Here is a 21601-nt window from a genome sequence, read left to right as displayed (position 1 = left end):
GGTAGGGGTACCATACCTGAGGTGGCGTCACGTAATCAGACACATCCATGACTCTGTTGGCGTAGAGTCCGGAGCCCTTCACCTTGGTTACCACCGAGGACTCAATGGCTGTGTCCCGTACCTGGTAAGCCTTCTCGTGCAAGAAAACCCACCTGGGGCAGGAGAGCATAAATGAAGAGAAAGAGAGGAGTCCATAGACCCAGCAGACAGAAGCTGGGAGAGGTCACCTTCCTGCCAACACTTGGCCATGCCTGGCAGGGTGTGCGGATGGTTCCTTCCAGAGGCGTGAGACCTAGAGTGAGCCCTTGGTTGACTTAGAATAGCGTTTCTCCACCTTTTGTCCCATTACTGCCCCTCAGGTGCCTTTCTAGACATTTTCTCCCCTAGTGGTCCCCCCCTCCATGAAACTTTGATATCACAGATATCTGTTTATGTACTGTATGCAAATTTGTGCTTTATGCATAAAAAGAGTGAGAACCAATTTTCACCTCCTTGGGGGCCATATGGCCCCATTGAGAATGCATGGCTCAAAGTCATTCCATGCTGCTGATGGGGGCCACTTCTCTGGCAGGCACCCAGGAGACAGAAGGACAGAGGATCCCAGGCCTCTGCTCCCATGCATTCCAGCCTTGGCCCACGGCTGTACCCTAAGTGTCCAACACAAAGTAGCTCAGTAAACAAATCAATAAAGGTCCTTGGGAGCTCGGTGCTTGGCAGAATCTATCTGCCCAGGTGTCAGATGAGAACAGAGGAGGAAGCGGGGGACAGCGGCTGAGCTTTTACCTGGCAGGTAAAGGAGCTCGGTTGAAGGTGGGGGGGCTGGGGGAGGAGGGAGGGAAGAGTCTGATCTTATTCCCTGGATTGTGCTGCCACCCAGTGGTCATTTACCTGTACTGGCGCCTTCCTACAGCTTTAAGCCATAATGGGACCACGTGGATGAGGCCTTCCCTTTTTCCATCCCTATCTTCCTTCTCAGACTTTCCTGGCCTCGAGCAAAAGGGCCTGCAAATACCTGCTGGCAACTCGTGCCTCTGCTTTCCTATAAAGTGCCTGCCTTTCCATTTGAAATCGCCAATCACAGCCCTCAAGGCTGAAGTCCCCGCTCAGCCTCACTTAATCCCACACTTCCAGCCTTTGGCAAGATTGCCTTTATTCCTGATGGCACACTGGGAGGTAGATGCTGCCACCATTCCCATTCGACAGATGAGAAAACCTCATCAAATACGTTTAGAAAATGCCATGCAACCCTCCTCCCTCCCCGAGAAACATACGATGTAAACAAACAAATACATCTGTTACATTTTGTTAACCTCACTGTCTCCCAATCTTATTTGACCACAGAAGCCAGTCTTGGAGAAATACTGGTGACGTCTCATGGAACAGAGGAGCACACTTTTGGAAATGCTGGGTGAGGGCATTTTCTGCTTCTAACCAGGGTGGCACGAGGTTGGAAAACCACACCAGATGAAGGTGAGTGGAAGGAATTTGAGACTGTGTAGCCCAGAGAAGACAAAGCCGTAGGAGTTAGAGGCTGGGAAGCTGCAGAGCCAGGAGCTGGGCTGACCTGAGGATTCTATAAGGAGGTGGGCGAGGACTTCAATCCCAGAACCGCCTGCTGCGGAAAGTCACCACACGCGTGCCACACGTCTGGGAAGACTCCAGGACAGCATGTTGCTCACCTGGCAGGTGTGCTGAGAGGAGGCCCCTTCCTCAGGTGGAGGCTGGACTGAATGATCTCTGGGGTCACCTACTGTTGGAACATGCAAACAGCAGCAGCTCCCAGAACGTACCGGGGGTCCCAGCCACTTATAGTTTGGACACCACAATCCTATTTACTGCAAACCCCAGCGGATATTTGCAAGTGGCTCTTCGTTCGGTTTTCAGTGAGAGGGTTTGGTGTTATCCCCATCATGGGTCTTCCTTTGCTCACTGGAATCTTTTTTTCTTTTTATTCTAATTTAAGTTTAAATTTTTGATAAATAAATACTATTTATTATTATTATTTGAGACAGAGTGTCACTCTGTTACCCAGGCACTGGCGCCATCTCGGCTCACTGCAACCTCTGCCTCCCGGGCTCAAGTGATTCTCGTGCCTCAGCCTCCTGAGTAGCTGGGACTACAGGCATGCACAACCACGCCTGGCTAACTTTTTTGTTTTTAGTAGAGACGGGGTTTTCCCATGTTGGCCAGGCTGGTCTCAAACTCCTGGCCTCAAGTGATCTGCCTGCCTTGGCCTCCCAAAGTGCTGGGATTACAGGCGGGATCCACCATGCCCAGCCCTATTTATTATTGATAAGTAATAATTGTACGTATTCATGGGGCACAATGTGGGTGTTTTGATATGCCTATACCTTGTGGAATGATTATGTCATGCTAATGATCATATTTACTACCTCACATATTTATCATTTTTTCAGTAGTATTACTGGCTTGAATTCTGAATGATTTCTTGAGCAGGAGAGAAAGGGTGTAGTCAAAGCACCAGCATATGGCTTCAAACCCGTTACCTGCTTTCCTATTGCTCCTTTAGAGCAGGCAGGCGGCATCCTGATTAACGCACCACTTAGAGTGACTTGCGTGCTTGTAAAATGCTCTCATGCATACCGCCTTCTATGGGGCTTTGTGGTGCTGCTTTATCTCCCAGCACTTTTCTTTTCTTCTTTTTTTGGAAGGGGAGGGGTTTCATTCAGATTTCACAAGGAAGTATGCCTCACGTAGAAATCCCATCTGCCAAATTACGTCCTTGAAGAAGAGAAGGGAGCCTCCCTGTCACAGGAAACCCAAATGAGCATTATTAGCTCACAGCCTGGGGCCCTGCAGAGTGAAGGGAGTGAGGTCTGGGGCCTAGGCTCTCTGCTTCCAGCTAAGATGGCTGTTGGCTGTACATTCGCAGAGTGCAAACTGTGGTCTAAACACACCCTTCTGGAACCGAGCTTCAATGTGCCTAGCCACAGAATAGACATATTTCTCAGTGTCGACCTAAGGAAATGGTTTTCTGAGGCCCCTGCCCTGCGTCCTTAAAGTCCAGGAACATTTGGAGATGCAGAGTTCAGACTAGTATTATATAACCAATGCGGCACTTGCTAAGCCGAATCTTTCACTACATTCTTACTGAGACAGCTTCGTTATTACCTTCATGTCATGAATGAGGAAACTGAGGCACAGAGAGGGTGCTAACTTGCCCAGGATTGCAAAGCTGGTATGTCAGCTCTAACCAGACAACGTGCTCCAGACCACTCACAGCCTCTTCACTCGAAGGTCTCTAGCTGTGTCCCAGCTCAAAGCCAGGCCATGCTGGCCCCCTGAACCGGACCCTGTGCTTTTCCTACCAGCTCCTGCTCCATCACCAGTGAAAGCATCTCCTGGCTTAGGAAAGTCTCAGGAGGAAAGGGCCGAGGACTCCAAGGAACAATCAACCAATCTCCTACCTCCTCCTCCTCCTCCTTCAAGGCTCCTTCTTGTGCCCAGTGGGGTGGAGAGGCCACATTAGAATTCTCTCTCTGACTTAAATAACAAGTGGAAGAATTTCAATGGCCTCACAGGGCCTCGGGATGTCATCAAGGCAGCTAGAAAGAAGGGGATGCTTCATTTCCAGAACGGAGGGGCTGAGGCTGTCTCTGGAGGCCAGGGCTCAGGAGCTAGGGCAGGCCTGAGCCTTCGATTCTTGGCATTTACTCTGCTGCTCTGACTATTTTCTTCTCGCATTCATGGTTTATTATTTATAGAGCGGAAGGCGTGTGGCAGCTCCTTGGCAGGTGGGATGTGCAGGAGAGAGGCCAGAGCCGCGCCCCAGCACCCTCCCATCCGCCCCCAGGGAGCCAAGGAGGAGGCTGGGGAGTGGGTGTGAAGAGTGCACGCTGTGTGTGTGGGAGGAGGAGAGGGGTCTCTTAGGAAGGTGTGAGCTGGGCAGAGGGAAAGGGGGAGGGGTGATGGGGGGGTCTTTGTGAAGTAGTCGCAGTTGCCATCTATTACTGAGTCACCATCTCCGCAAGGCACTTGACATATGTTACCTCCCCTCCCTATAACTCCCAGGGAGGAGGTATTCCTAAATCCATTTTCCAGATATGGGGACTGAGACTTAGAGATGTAAAGTCACTCTTAGGAGGCCCTCTCCTAGTTGGTGTCAGAGCCAGGCTTCTAACCAAGTGCTCTACGTTCCATATTGGGGGAGAGGGCAGGCAGGAATGAGAGTCACTCCTCTCTCTGGACCAGGATGACTGGTCCAGATGGGGCATCCAGCCAGGCATGGTGACTCATGTTGTAATCCCTGCACTTTGGGAGGCCGAGGCAGGTGGATCACTTGAGGTCAGGAGTTCGAGACCAGCCTGGCCAACATGGTGAAACCCCATCTCTACTAAAAATACAAAAATTAGCCGGGCGTCGTGGCACAGGCCTGTAATCCCAGCTACCGGGGAGGCTGAGGCAGGAGAGTCGCTTCAACCCAGGAGGCGGAGGTTGCAGTGAGTCGAGATTGCACCACTGCACTCCGGCCTGAGGGACAGAGCAAGGCTCCGTCTCAAAAAAAAAAAAAAAAAAAAAAAAAAAAAGATGGGGCAGCCCAACAGTTCTTCCCACCATAACAGCTCTTTCCACCATATCTGTCACTTAATTGTGCTGACAAGGTGCCTCACAGTGATACCCTGGGCTGAGAGGATGGAGTGGAGAGCCAAGAAGGCAGGATTCTAGACCCTTCTCTTTAAACCAGAGCAGCTCCTCCCTTTCACCTGCTTTATGTATTGAACTCCCACCTAAGATCTGAAATGAGGCTGAATTTTATGAACCAAAGCATGGGGCTGTACAGATGGCAAGTTTGTGGACTGGGTCTTGTATGGGGGAGGAACAGGGCAGGTAGGGCAGGGCTGTGGTGGGGTCAGAGGCTCCAGCAGCCACCAGTGACCCTTCAGCACAATGGGGCATCAAAGGCCTGGGAAGTCCCTGGCCTCCTAGTTTGCAAGGAGGCAGCTTCCTCCAGGAAGGCCCTGGAAATCAACCTCAGGCCAAGCACAGGCTATTGCTTCCAGGGACTCAGATCCTAGGGATTTCCTTCAACTTCTCAGGTCCCCAAAGGATCCAGAACGGGGATGGGCTCTCGGGAAGTCCCACTCCACAGAGGTGAGTGGGGATTACCACGTGGACCCAGAAAAGATGTGAGAAACATCAGGTAAGTCCAGGCCTCTCTGTGTGCCCTGGAGTGGGTAAAGGAAAATAGTGATGAAATGGTGTCAACCACAGACAAGCAGCTGAGGCCAGGGGCGGGGGTGAGAGCGTATGTGAGATGACCAGGTGGTGTGTTGCTGAGAAGTTCTCAGAGAAATGATGGACTCATGTTAGGCAGAGTCTAGGTTGTTGACCTGGTTGGGATGATGGGGAAGAGATTGAAGTATCAGTGAAATATTAACACTATAGCCTTAAAAATCCCTTCAAATTCGATTGGGTCCAAGCCACTGTCACCTCTCTGCATAAACTGCCTCTTAGCAGGTTTTCCTGCACCCACTCCTACTCCTTCCACTTCCAGGGAATCAGCCCAGGTGCTCTTCCCAACTCAGATCTCATCGTGTCTGTCTCTCTCTCTCTCAAACTCACGTGCACACACACACAAAAGTGCACACAGACACACGGGTTAAAATGCTTCCATGGCTTCTGTTTATTCATCTCCTGTAAAAACAAAAGCTCTCTAAGGGTGTCTGAGGTCCGGCCTCTGTGTGTGTTCCCATCCACCGTACACCACCCTCACTCATCTCTGCTCCCTCGGCTCCAGCCACAATGACCTTCTTTTCTTTCCCCTGTTTGCCAGCCTCCTTCCCTTTGCAGAGGTGGGTTTCTCTGCCCTGAACTCTCTTCCTTCCCTCTTTCACCTGGGCTGCTCTTACTCATCCTTCGGGTCTTGGCTAAAATGTCACATCTCCAGAAAACCTTCCCTTACTCCCTGACTGGGCCAAACACCTTCACAGAAGCGGCTCTCTATAACTGTGCACCTCTAAGCCACAGTTGACATTTCACGTTTGTGGAGATCATCAGATGAATGCCATCTCTTGCCTTCCGCTGTAAGCCCCAGGAGGGCGAGGACCCTGTCTGCTTTTGCCCACCATTCCGTCCTCAATCCACAGTGCCTGGCATGCAGAGATGCTGGTACATTTTTGCTAAATTAATGACGGTGGACTCATGAAGTCACAACGTGCATGGGTTCACATACACGGAGATGGGACTCAGGTCAGGGGGCTGGGCTGCAGAGGGCGCTGATGTAACTGGAAGGCAGTGTCCCGTGGGGAGCTGTCAGGCTAGGAGATGGATGGGGTTGGAAATTAAGATGCTAAAGAGCTTCGCACACTCGCTCCAGCAGGCTGGGCTCCAGCCCTGAGGACTGGAGGATTCTATCTGATCATGATGAGACAGAGACAAGGGCAGTGGGGGCTGAGCGGGCTGGTCTAGGAGCCCACTCTCTCCCCCATCAATCTCTGCCTGGAGCCAGTGGAGCCAGGCCAGAAGGGGAATGTGCTGAGCCAGATTTTGCACTCACCTGGGCCAACATACCATCTTGTGGCTATAAACAACCACAGCATTGAATATACACGTGAACACAGAACATTTAGGAACCAACTTTGAGCCAAGCTCTAGAGATGCAGACAGCGAACATTTGCAAACCTCGTATCTCACAAAACCTCAACATTGGAAGGGAACTTTGTGGCCATTTAATGCTATTCCAAAGCTTGAATCCCTTTTCTAAAATCTCCCAAAGGAGCACTGGATGGTACAGCCTTTTTACAATACCTGCCCACTGAAGCCTACCAGGGCTTGCCCAGCACACAGAGCAAAAAATCACCTAAAAAGTCACATCTAGCCACCTTTCCCTCCACACCCTCGCATAAACTTCAACATTTCAAGCAAGCAGGTTTGCATGCAGCTTCAGCCCACAGGCACACAGGATTCTCCTTTGACCTGCTTGAACTAACTCCTGACAGTCAGTGGATTGCTGCCTCAAATGCAAAGACCCATTGTCTGAAAGAACAGCATAAGATTGGAGACCCGCATGCCAGGAAAGAAAACCTTCGAGGTTTCTGCCTGTATTTCCTGGTGCCCACCAGTGTGTGGAAATGACCACAAGAAGGACAGGACCTGCATTCTTCCCCAGCCATTGTCTGCTCCACAGCCCTTTGTGTGCGTGTGTGTGTGTGTGTGTAGGTGTGTGCTTGCAGGCGGTGGGGGCTGAGGGGATGGTTGCACCTTCCTGGCTCTTAAGCAACTCCTAGGATGGGTTACATGGCACAGGGTCAGGGAGAGGTAGGGAACTTACACTTTTTGACAAAGGGGAGCATTTCTGGATTCCTGGGGAGGGAGCGGCACTATGTTCAGAAAAGCTCCTTTTCTCCTTGGCCACTCTTCCCTTGGGCCTCTGTTTGTTTCCTCATCAAGGGGCAGTTCCCTCTTTGTCCTCCCCTTCAAGAGCAGAGGGCTTCTCCCTTGCCCTTCTCTCTCTCACCATCTCACCCATCCATGCCAGAAGGAAATTCCTCATTCTAAAACAGATCCAGTTCTCTCTTTCCCTCCCGGCCACCAACTTGATCAACCTGCCACCACCCCCTTGTCTCAGTGCCTTCCCTTCCCTATTCCTGTGCTGTCTTGTCTTTTTGAGACCCCGAAGACTTGACTGAGGGGAATTCGAAGATGTGGGAGGGGGTCTGCCTGTTCTCTTGTTGGGGAGATGAGAGCAGGGAGGGTGGAGATGGAGCTCCTGAGCCCTCCCTCGGTGGAGGGCAGTGCCGGGGCAGGGACCCTACTACTCCGAGCGTGTGTCTTGAAACCAATCTCAACCCTGGAGGACGAACTGGGAAAAGAATTCACCTGGGTGAATTTAGGCCCTAGGTGGGGGTGGCAGAGGCCAGTCTTTAAGACTCGGCTCCACAGAAGAAACTGTTTCCCCCAGGAGCAGAGGAGCTCAGGAAGCTGGATGGTAGCACCGAGGCAGGAGGGTGAAGACGGGATACCAGGCAGCCCACCCCGCCAGGAACCTGAAAGGCCACAGACTCACCCTACAAAGTAGGAGATGATCAGAAGCTGAACTACTCGGTTGATGATCCCGATGGTCCAGCTCTTCACAACCACCGACTTGGTGGTCTCATAGGTGAAGAAGTCGGATATGCAGTTCATGCTGAGAGAGTGCTCAGGGGACACTCAGAAGGGGGCCCAGTGGTGGCCTCAGGAGAGGGAGGTCCTACAGGACAGGGAGACGAGATCACGACCTGGAGGGGGCAGCTTAGAGGGGTTGGAGGAATGGGGAGCCTGTCCCTTTAAGCCATGCAATCCTAGTGAGATTCTCTGCTCTTGATACTCTGGCTTCCAAGAGGCCAGGACCAGGGCGGGGGACCCCCTTTTTGTTCGTCTCCACTCCACTCCCCTGTGATGTCACAGCAGGGGTGGGGTCTCCAATCCTGGGCTCCTGATTGCCTGGGATGTAGCTGGCTGGAGCCCTCTGGGACTAATGTTTTATCTGCACTCTGTCTACTGTTTCTGTTCTGTTCTCTTCTGCAGCATCCTCATCCCAGCTCACCAGCTGCTCACACTCTCCCTAAAGCCCCTTGCAATTTCCCATCCCCCAGTCACCTAATAGCCTGCCTGAGCTAAGGACCCTCTTCATTCCTGAGTGTCTGCCAAATTCCACCCAGTTCTGCGCCGTCCCCTCCTTTCCTGAGTTGCCCCCAGTGGCATGGGTCAGGGGGAAAAGGTCTCTTGAAAGTTTTTCTGGGTCTTCTGGGGTGTGATGAGTAAAGAGTCACATATTTCTAACTCCAGCTGGTAATGAGCTTCGCTCTACCTGTAGCATAGCAGTTAGCACGTCTTTTTTGTTTTGTTTTCTTTTTATTATTATTCTTATACTCTAAGTTCTATGGTAAACCTGCACAACGTGCAGGTTTGTTACATATGTATACGTGTGCCATGTTGGTGTGTTGCACCCGTTAACTGTAAATATACCCGTCATTTACATTAGGTATATCTCCTAATGCTATCCCTCCCCACTCCGCCCACCCCGCGACAGGCCCTGGTGTGTGTGATGTTCCCCACCCTGTGTCCAAGTGTTCTCATTGTTCAATTCCCACCTATGAGTGAGAATATGCGGTGTTTGGTTTTCTGTCCTTGTGATAATTTGCTCAGAATGATGGAGTCCAGCTTCATCCATGTCCCTGCAAAGGACATGAACTCATCCTGTTTTACAGCTGCATAGTATTCCACGGTGTATATGTGCCAACTTCTTTTTTTTTTAACTGTCACTTTATTTATTAAAGTCATTTGTTAGATTATGTTTTCCTGAAAGGTTGGGGCTGGGTTTTTTTTTCTGTTTTTTTTTTTTTTCTTTCTTTCCTTCCCTTCCTTTTTTTTTTCTTTTTCTTTCTTTCTTTTTTTTTTTTTTTTTGACAGAGTCTCGCTCTGTCACCCGGGCTGGAGTGCAGTGGCACAATCTCAGCTCACTGCAACCTCTGCCTCCTGGGTTCAAGCAATTCTCATGCCTCAGCCTCCTGAGTAGCTGGGATTATAGGCACCCGCCACCACGCCTGGCTAATTTTTGTATTTTTAATAGAGACGGGGCTTCACCACGTTGGCCAGTCTGGTCTCAAACTCCTGACCTCAAGTGATCTCCCTGCCTTGGCCTCCCCAAGTGCTAGGATTACAGGTGTGAGCCACCGTGCCTGGCCGGGGATGTTTTCACCTTGTTCAAGTTTCCTCAAATCTGAGAAGTGTGCTAAAGTAGTAATAGGCCCTCAATATCTATTTATTAAACCCAGTTGAATTTATTTTGCTAGATAATGCTGGAATAGCCACTACTCAGAGGTTAAAGCTATGAGTTCAGGGGAGAAGGGTGCATTCCTGTTGTCTCTTACCCCAGGATTGATTTAGCAAGCTGGTGTATTGATTGTCAGGGAAATCTTGAGCTTACATATTCTGTACTAATGTCTTCATGTAGGACACATATCAATAGTCATTCTGAACATACAGTCACTGTGATTATGACAGAAGATAACTGGACTGGTGGTGTTAAGGAGGTCTGGGTCCTACCTAGCCTTGTTGCCAACGCACTGAGACCCTGGGCAACTCACTCCCCTTTGGGTCTCAGTTTTCCCATCAGTAAAAGGAGGTTGGGGTAGAAAAACTAAAACATCTTTTCCAGGTCTGGTCTCTGATGTTGCAAAATGCACTCTGGGATTATACGGGGGAGACCTGGCTTCCGCAACCACAGGATGATGTGGTTTCAAATCAGTTCTGGCTCCAAGGTGAATCTGACACCAGGACTTGAACTGGATAAGGCCGTTTGCCAGCCTCTTGGAGGTACCTATAATTTTCGGTTAAGGATGTGAAAATTTTGGGTGTAGACAGTGAACTTGACAGTTCAGCCAGAAAGCAGTGCACCCACGATGACACCAACACCCGCATACTCTCCGCAGCCAGTGGGAGAGGTCGTTTCCTCCCACAACTGTTCAAATACTTCTCTTCTTGTCCCATCGACTCCTTTCCATGACATAGAAACTATTTTGCAGAGAAACGGGCACGCATCATTCCAATACACACCCCCACCCCACCCCTGTACTAAGTCTGATACAATAAAACTACACAATTTCTCTTTAGTATCTAGTCTCGACTGAAGAAGTGTCTGTAGTTTCTAAAGAGCCCTACACACATTTTCTAGGCCGGATTCCCCCTGGGTGAGAGAGGCTTCACGGCAACCACCCTTCCCTCAGGTCCTCCAGAGTCGCTGACGCTCTATGCGACTGTCTCGCAGGCGGGCCCGACTCGCGTCTCTCTAGCCAGCTCATCCTCTCTGTGGCCTGTGTACGGCTTCCGGTGGCGGGACGCGGGGCCGCGCACGCGGGAAAAGCTTCCCCGGTGTCCCCCCATCCCCCTCCCCGCGCCCCCCCCGCGTCCCCCCAGCGCGCCCACCTCTCGCGCCGGGGCCCTCGCGAGGCCGCAGCCTGAGGAGGTAGGTGGTGGTCGTCCCCGGTCCCAGGAAGGCAGGGGCCCCGCTCCCCCACGGGACCCTCGACATGGACCATTCCGCGTTCGCAACCGCGGGGAGCGGGCGAATCCATTATGTGGGGCGGGGGTGAACCGTGGGTCTGGGGCCGCGGGGTGGTGGGAGCGGTGCGAGGGAAACCCTGCACTCTGAGCTGGATTGGGTCGCGTGCGATGTGCGGGCTCCTGGCAGACCCTGGGGTTCCGCTGCTCGTTGCCATGGCTCCCGCCGGAGCGGCCAGAGCGGGCGTCGGGTTGGGTGTCAGCGGTATTCCGGGCCCGGTTCTCCACCCAGGCCTGGACCTGGACCCTCGGGCACTGCAGCGTCCGTCTGTAGGTTTCCAGGCAGAGGAAATCCTGAGACATCCAGGCGCAGCTGGGAGTTGCTACCTGGCTCCATCCGTGAGCACAGCGAGGTGCTGTCTTTCATGCTTATCTGTCTTCCTCTTGAATTCAGATTCCCAACCTGCTGAGCATCCGCACACCCACTCAGGAGTTGGGGCCCAGCTCCCAGTTTACTTGGTTTCCCTTGTGCAGCCTGGGGCTCTGCCCAGGCCACCACAGGCAGGGGTCGACATGGCAGAGACACTGGAGTTCAACGACGTCTATCAGGAGGTGAAAGGTTCCATGGTGAGAATGGCTTGGACAGGTGATACAAGTAGAGAGAAGGAAGGAGGGTAGAGTTTTTGTCCATTAATGAGAGCTTGCTTTGGTAACGTTATTTTGGAAAAAGAAGACTCAGTATAATGTGTACCTAGTGTCTCCACCAACTCAAGGCAATACTGAGAGATAGTCTCAGAGTTATAGGGACCGTATATGCTGTTCAGTTCCCAATTCCTGTTTTACAAATGAGGAAACTGAGAATCTGTTAAGGGTTCTAGATACCAGAGTCTGGTTTAGAATCTAGACTCCTTGGCACCCTCAGCTGTTGCTCCTGCATTGATAATCTGGCCAGTCCACTTGCAGCAGGAATGTGTGTTAGGTAGAGCTGTAGAACCCAGGACATGCTGTGTACTGTCTCCATGCATCTGGGCCTGCTTTTCTTACAGAATGATGGTCGACTGAGGTTGAGCCGTCAGGGCATCATCTTCAAGAATAGCAAGACAGGCAAAGTGGACAACATCCAGGCTGGGGAGTTAACAGAAGGTATCTGGCGCCGTGTTGCTCTGGGCCATGGACTTAAACTGCTTACAAAGAATGGCCATGTCTACAAGTATGATGGCTTCCGAGAATCGGTGAGATGTCCCATGGCTATAAGCCTCCTTTTTACTGCATCTTCTTATTTTAATCTTCTAGAGACTCGAGGTTCCTTCCTCATGTAACCCTGTGATTGCTAGTTTGGGCTCCTTAGAGCAGGGCTGTGAGGCCATCAGGCAATCAGTGTTTGGCTTTGAGCGTTGAAGTCTTGTGAATTTCTGTGTGCCTTGACTCCAGAAGATTTTCTTCTGTCTTGATTTAGATAGTAGTTTCTGCCTGTGGCTTTTATCAAGGTTCAGAATCTTAGCTTGATTTCTTTGTGTGTATGTGTGTTTTTGGTTTTTTTTGGGGACAGGGCCTTGCTCTGTCACCCAGGCTGGAGTGCAGTGGCGCAATCTCGGATTACTGCAGCCTCCGCCTCCTGGGCTCAAGTAATCCTTCCATCTCAGCCTCCTGAGTATCTGGTACCACAGGCACATGCCACCATGCCCAGCTGATTTTTAATAATTTTTGGTAGAAACGGCGTTTTGCCACATTACCCAGTCTGGTCTTGAGCTCTCAGACTCAAGGGATCGCCCACCTTGGCCTCCCAAAGGGTTGAGATTACAGGCGTGAGCCATTGCGCCTGGCTAGCTTGATATCTTAAAGTGTGGGTTTTGTTTTCCTTTTTGAACTGCTTGAGTTAAAGGCTTTATTTGATTTTAATTTCCACTTTCATTAAAGTAATACCTATACAAAGTTTATAAAGTCAGATGGCCCGTAACCAGGAATGTCAGATCCAGTGGCTAGAAGCAATCTCTTTCAACAATCTTACCATGAGCTGGGTTGCTAAGTCAGCATGGATTTCTTATAAAGCCTATTTGGGGCAGTTTCTCAGAAATAGATAATCCCAGGACATTCAAGTCGGTGTTAAGGCCACCAAGGTTTACTGGGATTGTGCTTTCTTCCCTCCACCCACAGGAGTTTGAGAAACTCTCTGATTTCTTCAAAACTCACTATCGCCTTGAGCTAATGGAGAAGGACCTTTGTGTGAAGGGCTGGAACTGGGGGACAGTGAAATTTGGTGGTGAGTCCTGGGGAAGACTGAGGTTTGGGGAGGAAGATAGGGTGAAGGGTTTCAGCCTTTTACTTGTTTTGCTCTTTTCCCTCTGCCACTGTCTCTGGTTTCCTATCTATTTGCATGTTCATCATGTGTTTATTGAGTACCTACAGTATACTGCCTGGGGTTGGGGTTATAGTCTAAACAGACTAACCGCAGTATCCTGTCTCTGTGGAACTCAGTTTGGTGGGAATATTGCTTATGCAGACTTAAGGGGAGGAGCTTGTGGCTGGATAAGCCCTTTCCTCACAGGGCAGCTGCTTTCCTTTGACATTGGTGACCAGCCAGTCTTTGAGATACCCCTCAGCAATGTGTCCCAGTGCACCACAGGCAAGAATGAGGTGACACTGGAATTCCACCAAAACGATGACGCAGAGGTGTCTCTCATGGAGGTGCGCTTCTACGTCCCACCCACCCAGGAGGATGGTGTGGACCCTGTTGAGGTGAGGCTTCCCCTGGTTGCCTTGGCAGCAGATGGTGCTGAGCAGGCATTGGCTGGCCTGGGAGCAGGGCCTGCTGCTTGGCTACCAATATGTGCTTTTGCAGGCCTTTGCCCAGAATGTGTTGTCAAAGGCGGATGTAATCCAGGCCACGGGAGATGCCATCTGCATCTTCCGGGAGCTGCAGTGTCTGACTCCTCGTGGTCGTTATGACATTCGGATCTACCCCACCTTTCTGCACCTGCATGGCAAGACCTTTGACTACAAGATCCCCTACACCACAGTACTGCGTCTGTTTTTGTTACCCCACAAGGACCAGCGCCAGATGTTCTTTGTGGTAAGCAGAAACCCCTATGGCCGGATAATCCTGGTTTTTGCCTAAGTGTTAAGTAGATGGATCTCACTGGTGTGCAGAATTCTACGTTGGTTAATTGCAAGTTGTTGTAGAGTGTCAATTAGTACTCTTCCTTACTAGATCAGCCTGGATCCCCCAATCAAGCAAGGCCAAACTCGCTACCACTTCCTGATCCTCCTCTTCTCCAAGGACGAGGACATTTCGTTGACTCTGAACATGAACGAGTGAGTGTCTCCCTGGACTCGTTTCCTACCACTGTCCAGGCAGGAGACAGGTGTGCCATTAGAAGGCAGTAGTGTTGTGACCTCACCTTGCTTTCTTTGTAGGGAAGAAGTGGAGAAGCGCTTTGAGGGTCGGCTCACCAAGAACATGTCAGGATCCCTCTATGAGATGGTCAGCCGGGTCATGAAAGCACTGGTAAACCGCAAGATCACAGTGCCAGGCAACTTCCAAGGGTGAGAGTGTGGGCCTGGGATCCTGCCCTGCCTGGGTATGGGAAATGCCGTGTCTCCTTGGTAAACCCTTCCTGAGATGGGAATGCGGCCTCCTAGAGGCCTGGATGGGACCTTGTGTCACAATAGGTGCCAGCGCCTCTGTCAGAACAGCTCAGTGAGGTTTACTTAGTCGAGGACATGAGCACTCGTGTCGCTGCTGCTAGATACGCCCTTTGCCTCTGCTGAGGTTGGCACTAACCAGGCTCCCTGCACCCTCTGTCAGGCACTCAGGGGCCCAGTGCATTACCTGTTCCTACAAGGCAAGCTCAGGACTGCTCTACCCGCTGGAGCGGGGCTTCATCTACGTCCACAAGCCACCTGTGCACATCCGCTTCGATGAGATCTCCTTTGTCAACTTTGCTCGTGGTACCACTACTACTCGTTCCTTTGACTTTGAAATTGAGACCAAGCAGGGCACTCAGTATACCTTCAGCAGCATTGAGAGGTGAGAACCTCCACCTGTCACTTCCTGGGCATCCTGGTCCCGAGCCAGCTTTGTCTAGGAAGGCTGGCGTGGCCTGGGGCACTCTCCAACCCTAGAGCAGAATTTTTCTTTTGCTACATCAGGATTTGGTCCTTTTCCCTGGAGTGCTCAGACTTTAGAAACCTCTCCATTGCTTTCTTTCTGGTCATTAAAAAAACAAAACAAAACAAAACAAAAAAAACTTTTTCCGTATTCTGAAAGCTATATGTCTTCGCTACTGGTCTTTTTTCTCCTCCACTCCCCACCATGATGGAAATGCTATCTCTTTCTTTCCTGGAATGAGCTTTGTGCCTGAGAACATAGCGGCTAATGCTTATTGAGTGCTCACTGTGGACTAAACGTTTTATAAGCATCTTCACGTGTAATCCTCATATCAACCTTGTGAAGTATGAAAAAAGATGACCACGTCCCCTGCCCCACACTTACTCCCCTCTGAGCTTATTTTGTAAACAGATGCGCACCCCTCCCTGCCTTTCCTTTCCCAGAGTTCTTCAAAGCCATGCAGTTCTTTCAGGACTAATGTCTGGCTCTGGCTCTGCCTTACTGCTGTCCTCTGGGGGTTTCTAAGCTGTTGGGTTGGGTAGCATAGTCAAGAGCTCCAGGCTCCACAGTCTACCCCAGCTCATGGAATCAGAACATTGTTTAGTGTGCCCCTGTGTTGGCACTACCTCTCTGGTAACATGGTGCATGTCCCCTCACAGGGAGGAGTACGGGAAACTGTTTGATTTTGTCAACGCGAAAAAGCTCAACATCAAAAACCGAGGATTGAAAGAGGTACTTCTGTGTGGGGAGGATGAGACCCTCTCCTGGTCTTTCTATAGGGGAGAAAGGGGTGGAGATTTTTTCCGGCTTCTTTTTCACTCTTTCTTCTCTTCTTACCCTTATAGAAAAAAGAGGTGCGTGTGACCCTTTCCCCCTCCTGGTGCAGGTTTCCTCTGCATGACCTTAGACCAGTCTATGCAGCCCCTCAGGAGCCCCCAGTGGGGCTGGGAGAGGGAGGGGCTTGGGGCTTGGACTAACCCAGTTGGCAGGAAGTACTTGGGCATAGGCCCTGCACGTTGGCTGTGTGTGGACAATCCAGCCCCAGGTCTTCTGGGAGCTGCTGCTCTGACTTGACAGGCATGGGGGTGTGCTTTTGAGTGTGCAGGGATTCTGGCTCGAGGGTGAGTTGGCCCCACCGTGAACTCTTCCCTGGCTAGGGCATGAACCCAAGCTACGATGAATATGCTGACTCTGATGAGGACCAGCATGATGCCTACTTGGAGAGGATGAAGGAGGAAGGCAAGATCCGGGAGGAGAATGCCAATGACAGCAGCGATGACTCAGGAGAAGAAACCGGTGGGTTAGCCTCCGTGCTGAGCACGAGGATGGTCAGACGCTCCTCGCTGTGGCCCGGGCTGGACTCACCCTTGGGCCAGAGCTGGGTGCCTGGGTGAGGTGGGGGGATTTCCATTGGGGCAGAAGCTGATGCATCCTGTGCCCTTTTTCAGATGAGTCATTCAACCCAGGTGAAGAGGAGGAAGATGTGGCAGAGGAGTGAGTTTTGGTGGTACCTTGTGGGGATAAGATGGTGACCCATAAGCTTAAGGGACCAGAAGATTTCTGGACATTTCTCAGGTCCCAGCATTAGCTACTGACCCAGAATGGGAGAGTGACCTCCAATGAGGTGATATACGAAAATGTTTTGGAAATTGTCAAGGGCTTTGTAAGTGCAAGACATATTTTGAAGTCGGAAAAGTATAGTGGGATCTATGGCCATACCGCCCTGAATGTGCCAGTTGGGGCTGGTTCGTAGTTGGATGAGGAGAGAATGGGAATGAGCTGGTGCTTGCCACTTACTTGCTGGGGGTTGTCGAGTAAGTCATTGAATCTCAATTTCCTCATCAGTAGAAATGCAGTAGTACCCCTGCTAAATTGGTTAAGACTTTTTGTTAGCAGTGTCAGAAATGTGATTCACTCTCACTTTAAAAGGGAACATATAAAAGGGAATTTCATAAGTTCATATTACTGCGGAGTCTGGGGATTTAATTGGCTTCAGACACTACTGGATTCAGGCGCTCAAATCTATTTCTTCCGATTTCCTTAATTAAAAATAGGTTTACCCCATGGGGTGCCCAGTGACTCTCAGAAGCTCAGGGCAGGCTTAATCCTACTGGTTTAAAACAACACCAGAAGTGCCTCTTTTGGTGAACAGCATAGTGAACACAGTGGTTACCTGCCCCTTTCTAGCCTGAGTTATTAGAATGGGCTGGGGTCTGATGGGCCAGAAATAGGCCAAGTGCCCACCCTTAGAGCCTGTGGTTGGGGTAAGCCCTTCCTGAGTGGGGGCAAGGTGGTTCCCAACAGAAAATTGGGACTCTGCTCTCTTAATCCAGAAGGATTGTAAAAGAATGTCGGGCAGCAAAAAAAACACCCAACAGGAGTCCTCTAGTTCAGCCTGCCACATGCTTATGAAGGTTTATGAAGGTTTAATGAGCAAATACTTGTGAAAGTGCCTTGAAGACTGTCCAGCAGCATACAGGTGTAAGGTAGTTGCATTGTTTGAGGAGTTTCACATATATCAGACAAGACTGTCAATTACAGGGGTAGGCACTGGGTTGGACTGAAGTTGGTTTTCCTCTTTTTGTAGTAACTGATTATCTTTTCATCAGAAGACTGTAGGGGCCAATCCTTTTGTAGTTCATAAACATAATGGTTGGGTGTTACGTGCGTGTGTGAAATGTGCCACCCTCCAGCCTTGTTACGATGTTGACACATTACCCATCTGACATGGAAAAAAAAAGAAGACAAAAAAGACTATAGGGTAGATTAAGGTGATTACTCCGAGGGAAGTGGTGAAGTGGATTTGGGCCATGTTCCAGGCATGAATGAGGCAGTGTTTCTGCCAGTGGTGTCCTGGGGATGGACTAGGACCTGGTTTGGCCATGCCCAGGGAGATCCGCTGAAGCTCATTGATTTGTTTTTCATTCATTAATTCCAATCAAGTAACCAATTGCTGTGGCTGGGTCTGGAGAGGGCATGGCTGAAGCCACCACAGTGAATGGGAGAAAGCAGTGTTGGGGATTGGTGGTGGATACTGTCCTCTGGTCTTCCTCCCTTGCCCCTTTTGGGTGGGTATCTTTGGATTTGTCTTCCTCCTGTCCTGAGGCCGTGGGGTCCTGTCTTCCCTCCTCAAGTCTAAGCCTGGCTTGTTCTCTGGCAGGTTTGACAGCAACGCCTCTGCCAGCTCCTCCAGTAATGAGGGTGACAGTGACCGGGATGAGAAGAAGCGGAAACAGCTCAAAAAGGCCAAGATGGCCAAGGACCGCAAGAGCCGCAAGAAGCCTGTGGAGGTGCAGACTGTAGATGGGAGGGCCTGTGTGTGGTGCAGTGGGTGGGGGGCGTGGGAGGCATTCTCTTTACCTTCTCCTGTCCACCACCAGTAGGACCTGTTCTTCCTTGGGGCTGTTTTTTATAGCCAGTGATTATAGCCTTGAGGGTTATCTTCTTGGAAATTTTTCTCACTAGCCCTGAGATTAATAAGCTTCTGGAAGGTCTGAATTAGGAGATGGGCTTCTGTCCTGGTAAGCTAGGCACTGAATTGCAGAGGGGAAGGAGATACTATCCTTGCCCTTAGGGAGCTCTCGTCTCGCCTGATGCTATTTAGTCCTCCACTTTTTCTCCAAGTTAAGTGATCTAAATAATTTATTTGGGAAAATGTATGGGTTCTGTGGGAAATAGCTGAAGGCATTTGGGTTCTTATGTAGGTGAAGAAGGGCAAAGACCCCAATGCCCCCAAGAGGCCCATGTCTGCATACATGCTGTGGCTCAATGCCAGCCGAGAGAAGATCAAGTCAGACCATCCTGGCATCAGCATCACGGATCTTTCCAAGAAGGCAGGCGAGATCTGGAAGGGAATGTCCAAAGAGAAGAAAGAGGTGAGTAGCAGCAGAGGAGGGGTGATGCCTCTCATGGGCTGGCGAGAGGTGCTGTCTTGGGGTGGCGAGTCTCATGACTGATAGGGGAGCAGTATGAGCCATTGGTGGGACTTTCTGTATCGATTTTGCCTGCATCAGGGGAGAGGGGAGATGGGAGAGGTCTTATTCTTAACTGTTTTTTTCTGTGTGTGAGACAGGAGTGGGATCGCAAGGCTGAGGATGCCAGGAGGGACTATGAAAAAGCCATGAAAGAATATGAAGGGGGCCGAGGCGAGTCTTCTAAGAGGTGAGTGTCGAGAACATGGCCCAGTCACTGATTTTTGTGGCAGACTTTTTTTTTTTTAACAGGCCGAAGTTGAGCATTGGAAAGTTAAAGACAGCAGAGATGCTTCTGACTGCAGTAGGGTAGTGCTTCTCAAACCTGGGTAGGCCATTGCCCAAGTATGGGTGACACAATAGGGCATTCAAGTCACTGGGGAAATATGGCCTCTTTTCCTGGACCATTTTATTTGAAGGTATGGGGGAACGAAAAAAATACTATTATGGAGTGCAGTGCACAGTTTGCATGAACTCTAAAAGATAAAGCAAGAAATATCAAGTAGGTTTTGCACATTGGGCTGCTTTAGGCTGTGCCCTCTGATTCTTCTGGTGTACTCATGATACTCTCCCTTGGTGCCCTCCAGGCTGACGCAGCTATTTACGTTCAGAGTGAAATGGGCTGTGTGGCTGGGATTGGGAAAGGCCTTGTTAAAGCTGGGAGAGGTTTGGTCATGGTGACAGGGGACCTGAAGGCCCAGCTCCTCTTCCCTCTTGCCAATACAGGGACAAGTCAAAGAAGAAGAAGAAAGTAAAGGTAAAGATGGAAAAGAAATCCACGCCCTCTAGGGGCTCATCATCCAAGTCGTCCTCAAGGCAGCTAAGCGAGAGCTTCAAGAGCAAAGAGTTTGTGTCTAGTGATGAGAGCTCTTCGGGAGAGAACAAGAGCAAAAAGAAGAGGAGGAGGAGCGAGGTGCGGCAGGAATGTGGGGCCTGTGGGCTGGGCAGGGTGAGGGGCATGTGTGTCTGTGTGGGGTTGGTCTGTAAGAGTAATGAGTTGGAGTGGATGGTGGAATTCTGAGGTTCTGAAGGGGGGTGCTGTAGTTGGGGGCGGTAGGGAATTGCGGGCCCTTCACTGAAGAGTGGGTGGGGCACCCAGGACTCCAGCTTTTCCCTTAAGACACCTTTGGTTTTCAGGACTCTGAAGAAGAAGAACTAGCCAGTACTCCCCCCAGCTCAGAGGACTCAGCGTCAGGATCCGATGAGTAGAAACGGAGGAAGGTTCTCTTTGCGCTTGCCTTCTCACACCCCCCGACTCCCCACCCATATTTTGGTACCAGTTTCTCCTCATGAAATGCAGTCCCTGGATTCTGTGCCATCTGAACATGCTCTCCTGTTGGTGTGTATGTCACTAGGGCAGTGGGGAGACGTCTTAACTCTGCTGCTTCCCAAGGATGGCTGTTTATAATTTGGGGAGAGATAGGGTGGGAGGCAGGGCAATGCAGGATCCAAATCCTCATCTTACTTTCCCGACCTTAAGGATGTAGCTGCTGCTTGTCCTGTTCAAGTTGCTGGAGCAGGGGTCATGTGAGGCCAGGCCTGTAGCTCCTACCTGGGGCCTATTTCTACTTTCATTTTGTATTTCTGGTCTGTGAAAATGATTTAATAAAGGGAACTGACTTTGGAAACCATGTCCTCATGCTTTCTTTGTAGCCTTGGTGTGTTGCTCCCACTTTTATTGGTGGTGTTTACTGCTCTGGTCAGACTGGGCAGGGCCTTCCTGGCCAGCCGGGAAGCAAGTCTCGAGGTACATCCTGTTCTGTTCCCGGCTGGACGAGCATTGGTTTTCACCCGCCTCTGCCCGGATGGGCCACCTGAGAGTCTAGAAATGAGAGCTGATCTGATTAGGAAGTTTCTCCCAGTTACACTCCATTAGCCAACCAAGCTAGGGGGAGGCAGCTCTTGGCTGCATCCTTACCTATGAGTCAAGGGTCTTCCAAGGCTTTCGATAATGAAATCAGGATTGACTGTCCTTCCCGCAGCCGGGGGAGTGGAAACCTGAGCCTGGAGAGTCGGGGAGGATGAGCGTGTGCGTAGAGTGGTGGTGGTTGCAGCCTGGTGGTGGTGCAACAAAGTACGGAGTTATATGTGAAGCTTTTGTTCTTACGGGAAGAAGGGGGTATACAAACTTCAGTGTAGGGAGGAACCCATGTCTGAGAAGGGGCCTAAAAGGAGATAAAGGTCACTAATGAGGAATGCAGAGCTGCCAGACTTCTTCACGGTGGCTCTAAATCTGAATTGACACAGGAGGGTGGCCACGTTGCGCGCGTTCTCAGCACTCAGGTGGTTGTATCAGGAAGCCGCTTCAGTCAGCCGGCGGCTACCTTCTTGCCGGCGTAGCTCGATGATACTGTGCTCTGTGCAGGCGGCGGAGCCCGGGAGGGGCCGCCAAGGCAGTTTCTCTAGGCAGTCGTCTCGGTGGCCATTTTACCCGAGCGCTCCCGGCTGAATTGCGTCAGTTTCGCCCCGGTCTGAGACTGGGGCGGGCCCCTCATCTGCAAGCCTCATGAATAATTGAGTG

At 50.8% G+C, this 21601-nt stretch overlaps 2 protein-coding genes and 1 non-coding gene across 12 annotated transcripts in view, besides 5 other annotated features; 2 read left to right on the top strand and 1 right to left on the bottom strand.

Moving 5' to 3' along the window:
- The window catches only part of P2RX3 (purinergic receptor P2X 3), a 36447-nt gene extending 25701 nt beyond the window's left edge, over positions 1 to 10746 (bottom strand). For 3 of the 7 annotated variants that reach the window (XR_949950.3, NM_002559.5, XM_011545071.3), the window contains exons 1-2: positions 8027 to 8344; positions 17 to 152 (exon numbers count right to left, since the gene is read on the bottom strand). Coding sequence is in view for 5 of the 7 variants with exons in the window: in NM_002559.5 (NP_002550.2) it covers positions 17 to 152; positions 8027 to 8145 (255 nt within the window). In the remaining 2 variants the exon portion in view is untranslated. The other 4 variants (XM_011545070.3, XM_011545069.3, XM_011545072.3 and 1 more) reach the window with 4 other exon arrangements.
- Positions 10666 to 10715: an enhancer, noted in NCBI's record as "active region_4716". NCBI's record gives its function as "activates an Ori minimal core promoter by ATAC-STARR-seq in GM12878 lymphoblastoid cells {active_cell/tissue: GM12878}" and the evidence as "EXISTENCE:reporter gene assay evidence [ECO:0000049][PMID:35858748]".
- On the top strand, positions 10804 to 20708 carry SSRP1 (structure specific recognition protein 1). Of its 4 annotated transcripts, none has more exons than NM_003146.3 (17): positions 10804 to 10966; positions 11456 to 11628; positions 12048 to 12233; positions 13156 to 13261; positions 13547 to 13737; positions 13841 to 14071; positions 14210 to 14313; positions 14416 to 14544; positions 14807 to 15028; positions 15769 to 15841; positions 16267 to 16405; positions 16558 to 16603; positions 18270 to 18399; positions 18814 to 18984; positions 19182 to 19270; positions 19807 to 19993; positions 20218 to 20708. In NM_003146.3, the coding sequence occupies exons 2-17, from the start codon at positions 11575 to 11577 to the stop codon at positions 20287 to 20289; spliced, it is 2130 nt and encodes a 709-aa protein (NP_003137.1). In that variant the 5' UTR covers positions 10804 to 10966; positions 11456 to 11574; the 3' UTR covers positions 20290 to 20708. The 4 variants fall into 4 exon arrangements, with proteins under 4 accessions (NP_003137.1, XP_047283454.1, XP_016873669.2 ...); XM_047427498.1 differs by having other exon boundaries at positions 11449 to 11628; XM_017018180.2 differs by having other exon boundaries at positions 10804 to 11628.
- Positions 10886 to 11065: a silencer, noted in NCBI's record as "silent region_3345". NCBI's record gives its function as "represses an Ori minimal core promoter by ATAC-STARR-seq in GM12878 lymphoblastoid cells {active_cell/tissue: GM12878}" and the evidence as "EXISTENCE:reporter gene assay evidence [ECO:0000049][PMID:35858748]".
- Positions 11566 to 11635: an enhancer, noted in NCBI's record as "active region_4715". NCBI's record gives its function as "activates an Ori minimal core promoter by ATAC-STARR-seq in GM12878 lymphoblastoid cells {active_cell/tissue: GM12878}" and the evidence as "EXISTENCE:reporter gene assay evidence [ECO:0000049][PMID:35858748]".
- Positions 17735 to 17837, top strand: LOC124902831 (small nucleolar RNA U13). Its single transcript, XR_007063016.1, has one exon. It is a non-coding gene; the product is annotated as a small nucleolar RNA U13 (small nucleolar RNA).
- Positions 20578 to 21451: an enhancer, noted in NCBI's record as "OCT4-NANOG-H3K27ac-H3K4me1 hESC enhancer chr11:57092719-57093592 (GRCh37/hg19 assembly coordinates)". NCBI's record gives its function as "activates a minimal SCP1, AML or CMV promoter by ChIP-STARR-seq in naive H9 embryonic stem cells {active_cell/tissue: H9 hESC(naive)}" and the evidence as "EXISTENCE:reporter gene assay evidence [ECO:0000049][PMID:30033119]".
- Positions 21481 to 21530: an enhancer, noted in NCBI's record as "active region_4714". NCBI's record gives its function as "activates an Ori minimal core promoter by ATAC-STARR-seq in GM12878 lymphoblastoid cells {active_cell/tissue: GM12878}" and the evidence as "EXISTENCE:reporter gene assay evidence [ECO:0000049][PMID:35858748]".

Source organism: Homo sapiens, chromosome 11 (genome assembly GCF_000001405.40).
Source record: "Homo sapiens chromosome 11, GRCh38.p14 Primary Assembly".
Classification (NCBI taxonomy): domain Eukaryota; kingdom Metazoa; phylum Chordata; class Mammalia; order Primates; family Hominidae; genus Homo; species Homo sapiens.
The sequence above is the reverse complement of the archived record's forward strand: the minus strand, read 5'-3'. Positions and strand labels throughout refer to the sequence as shown.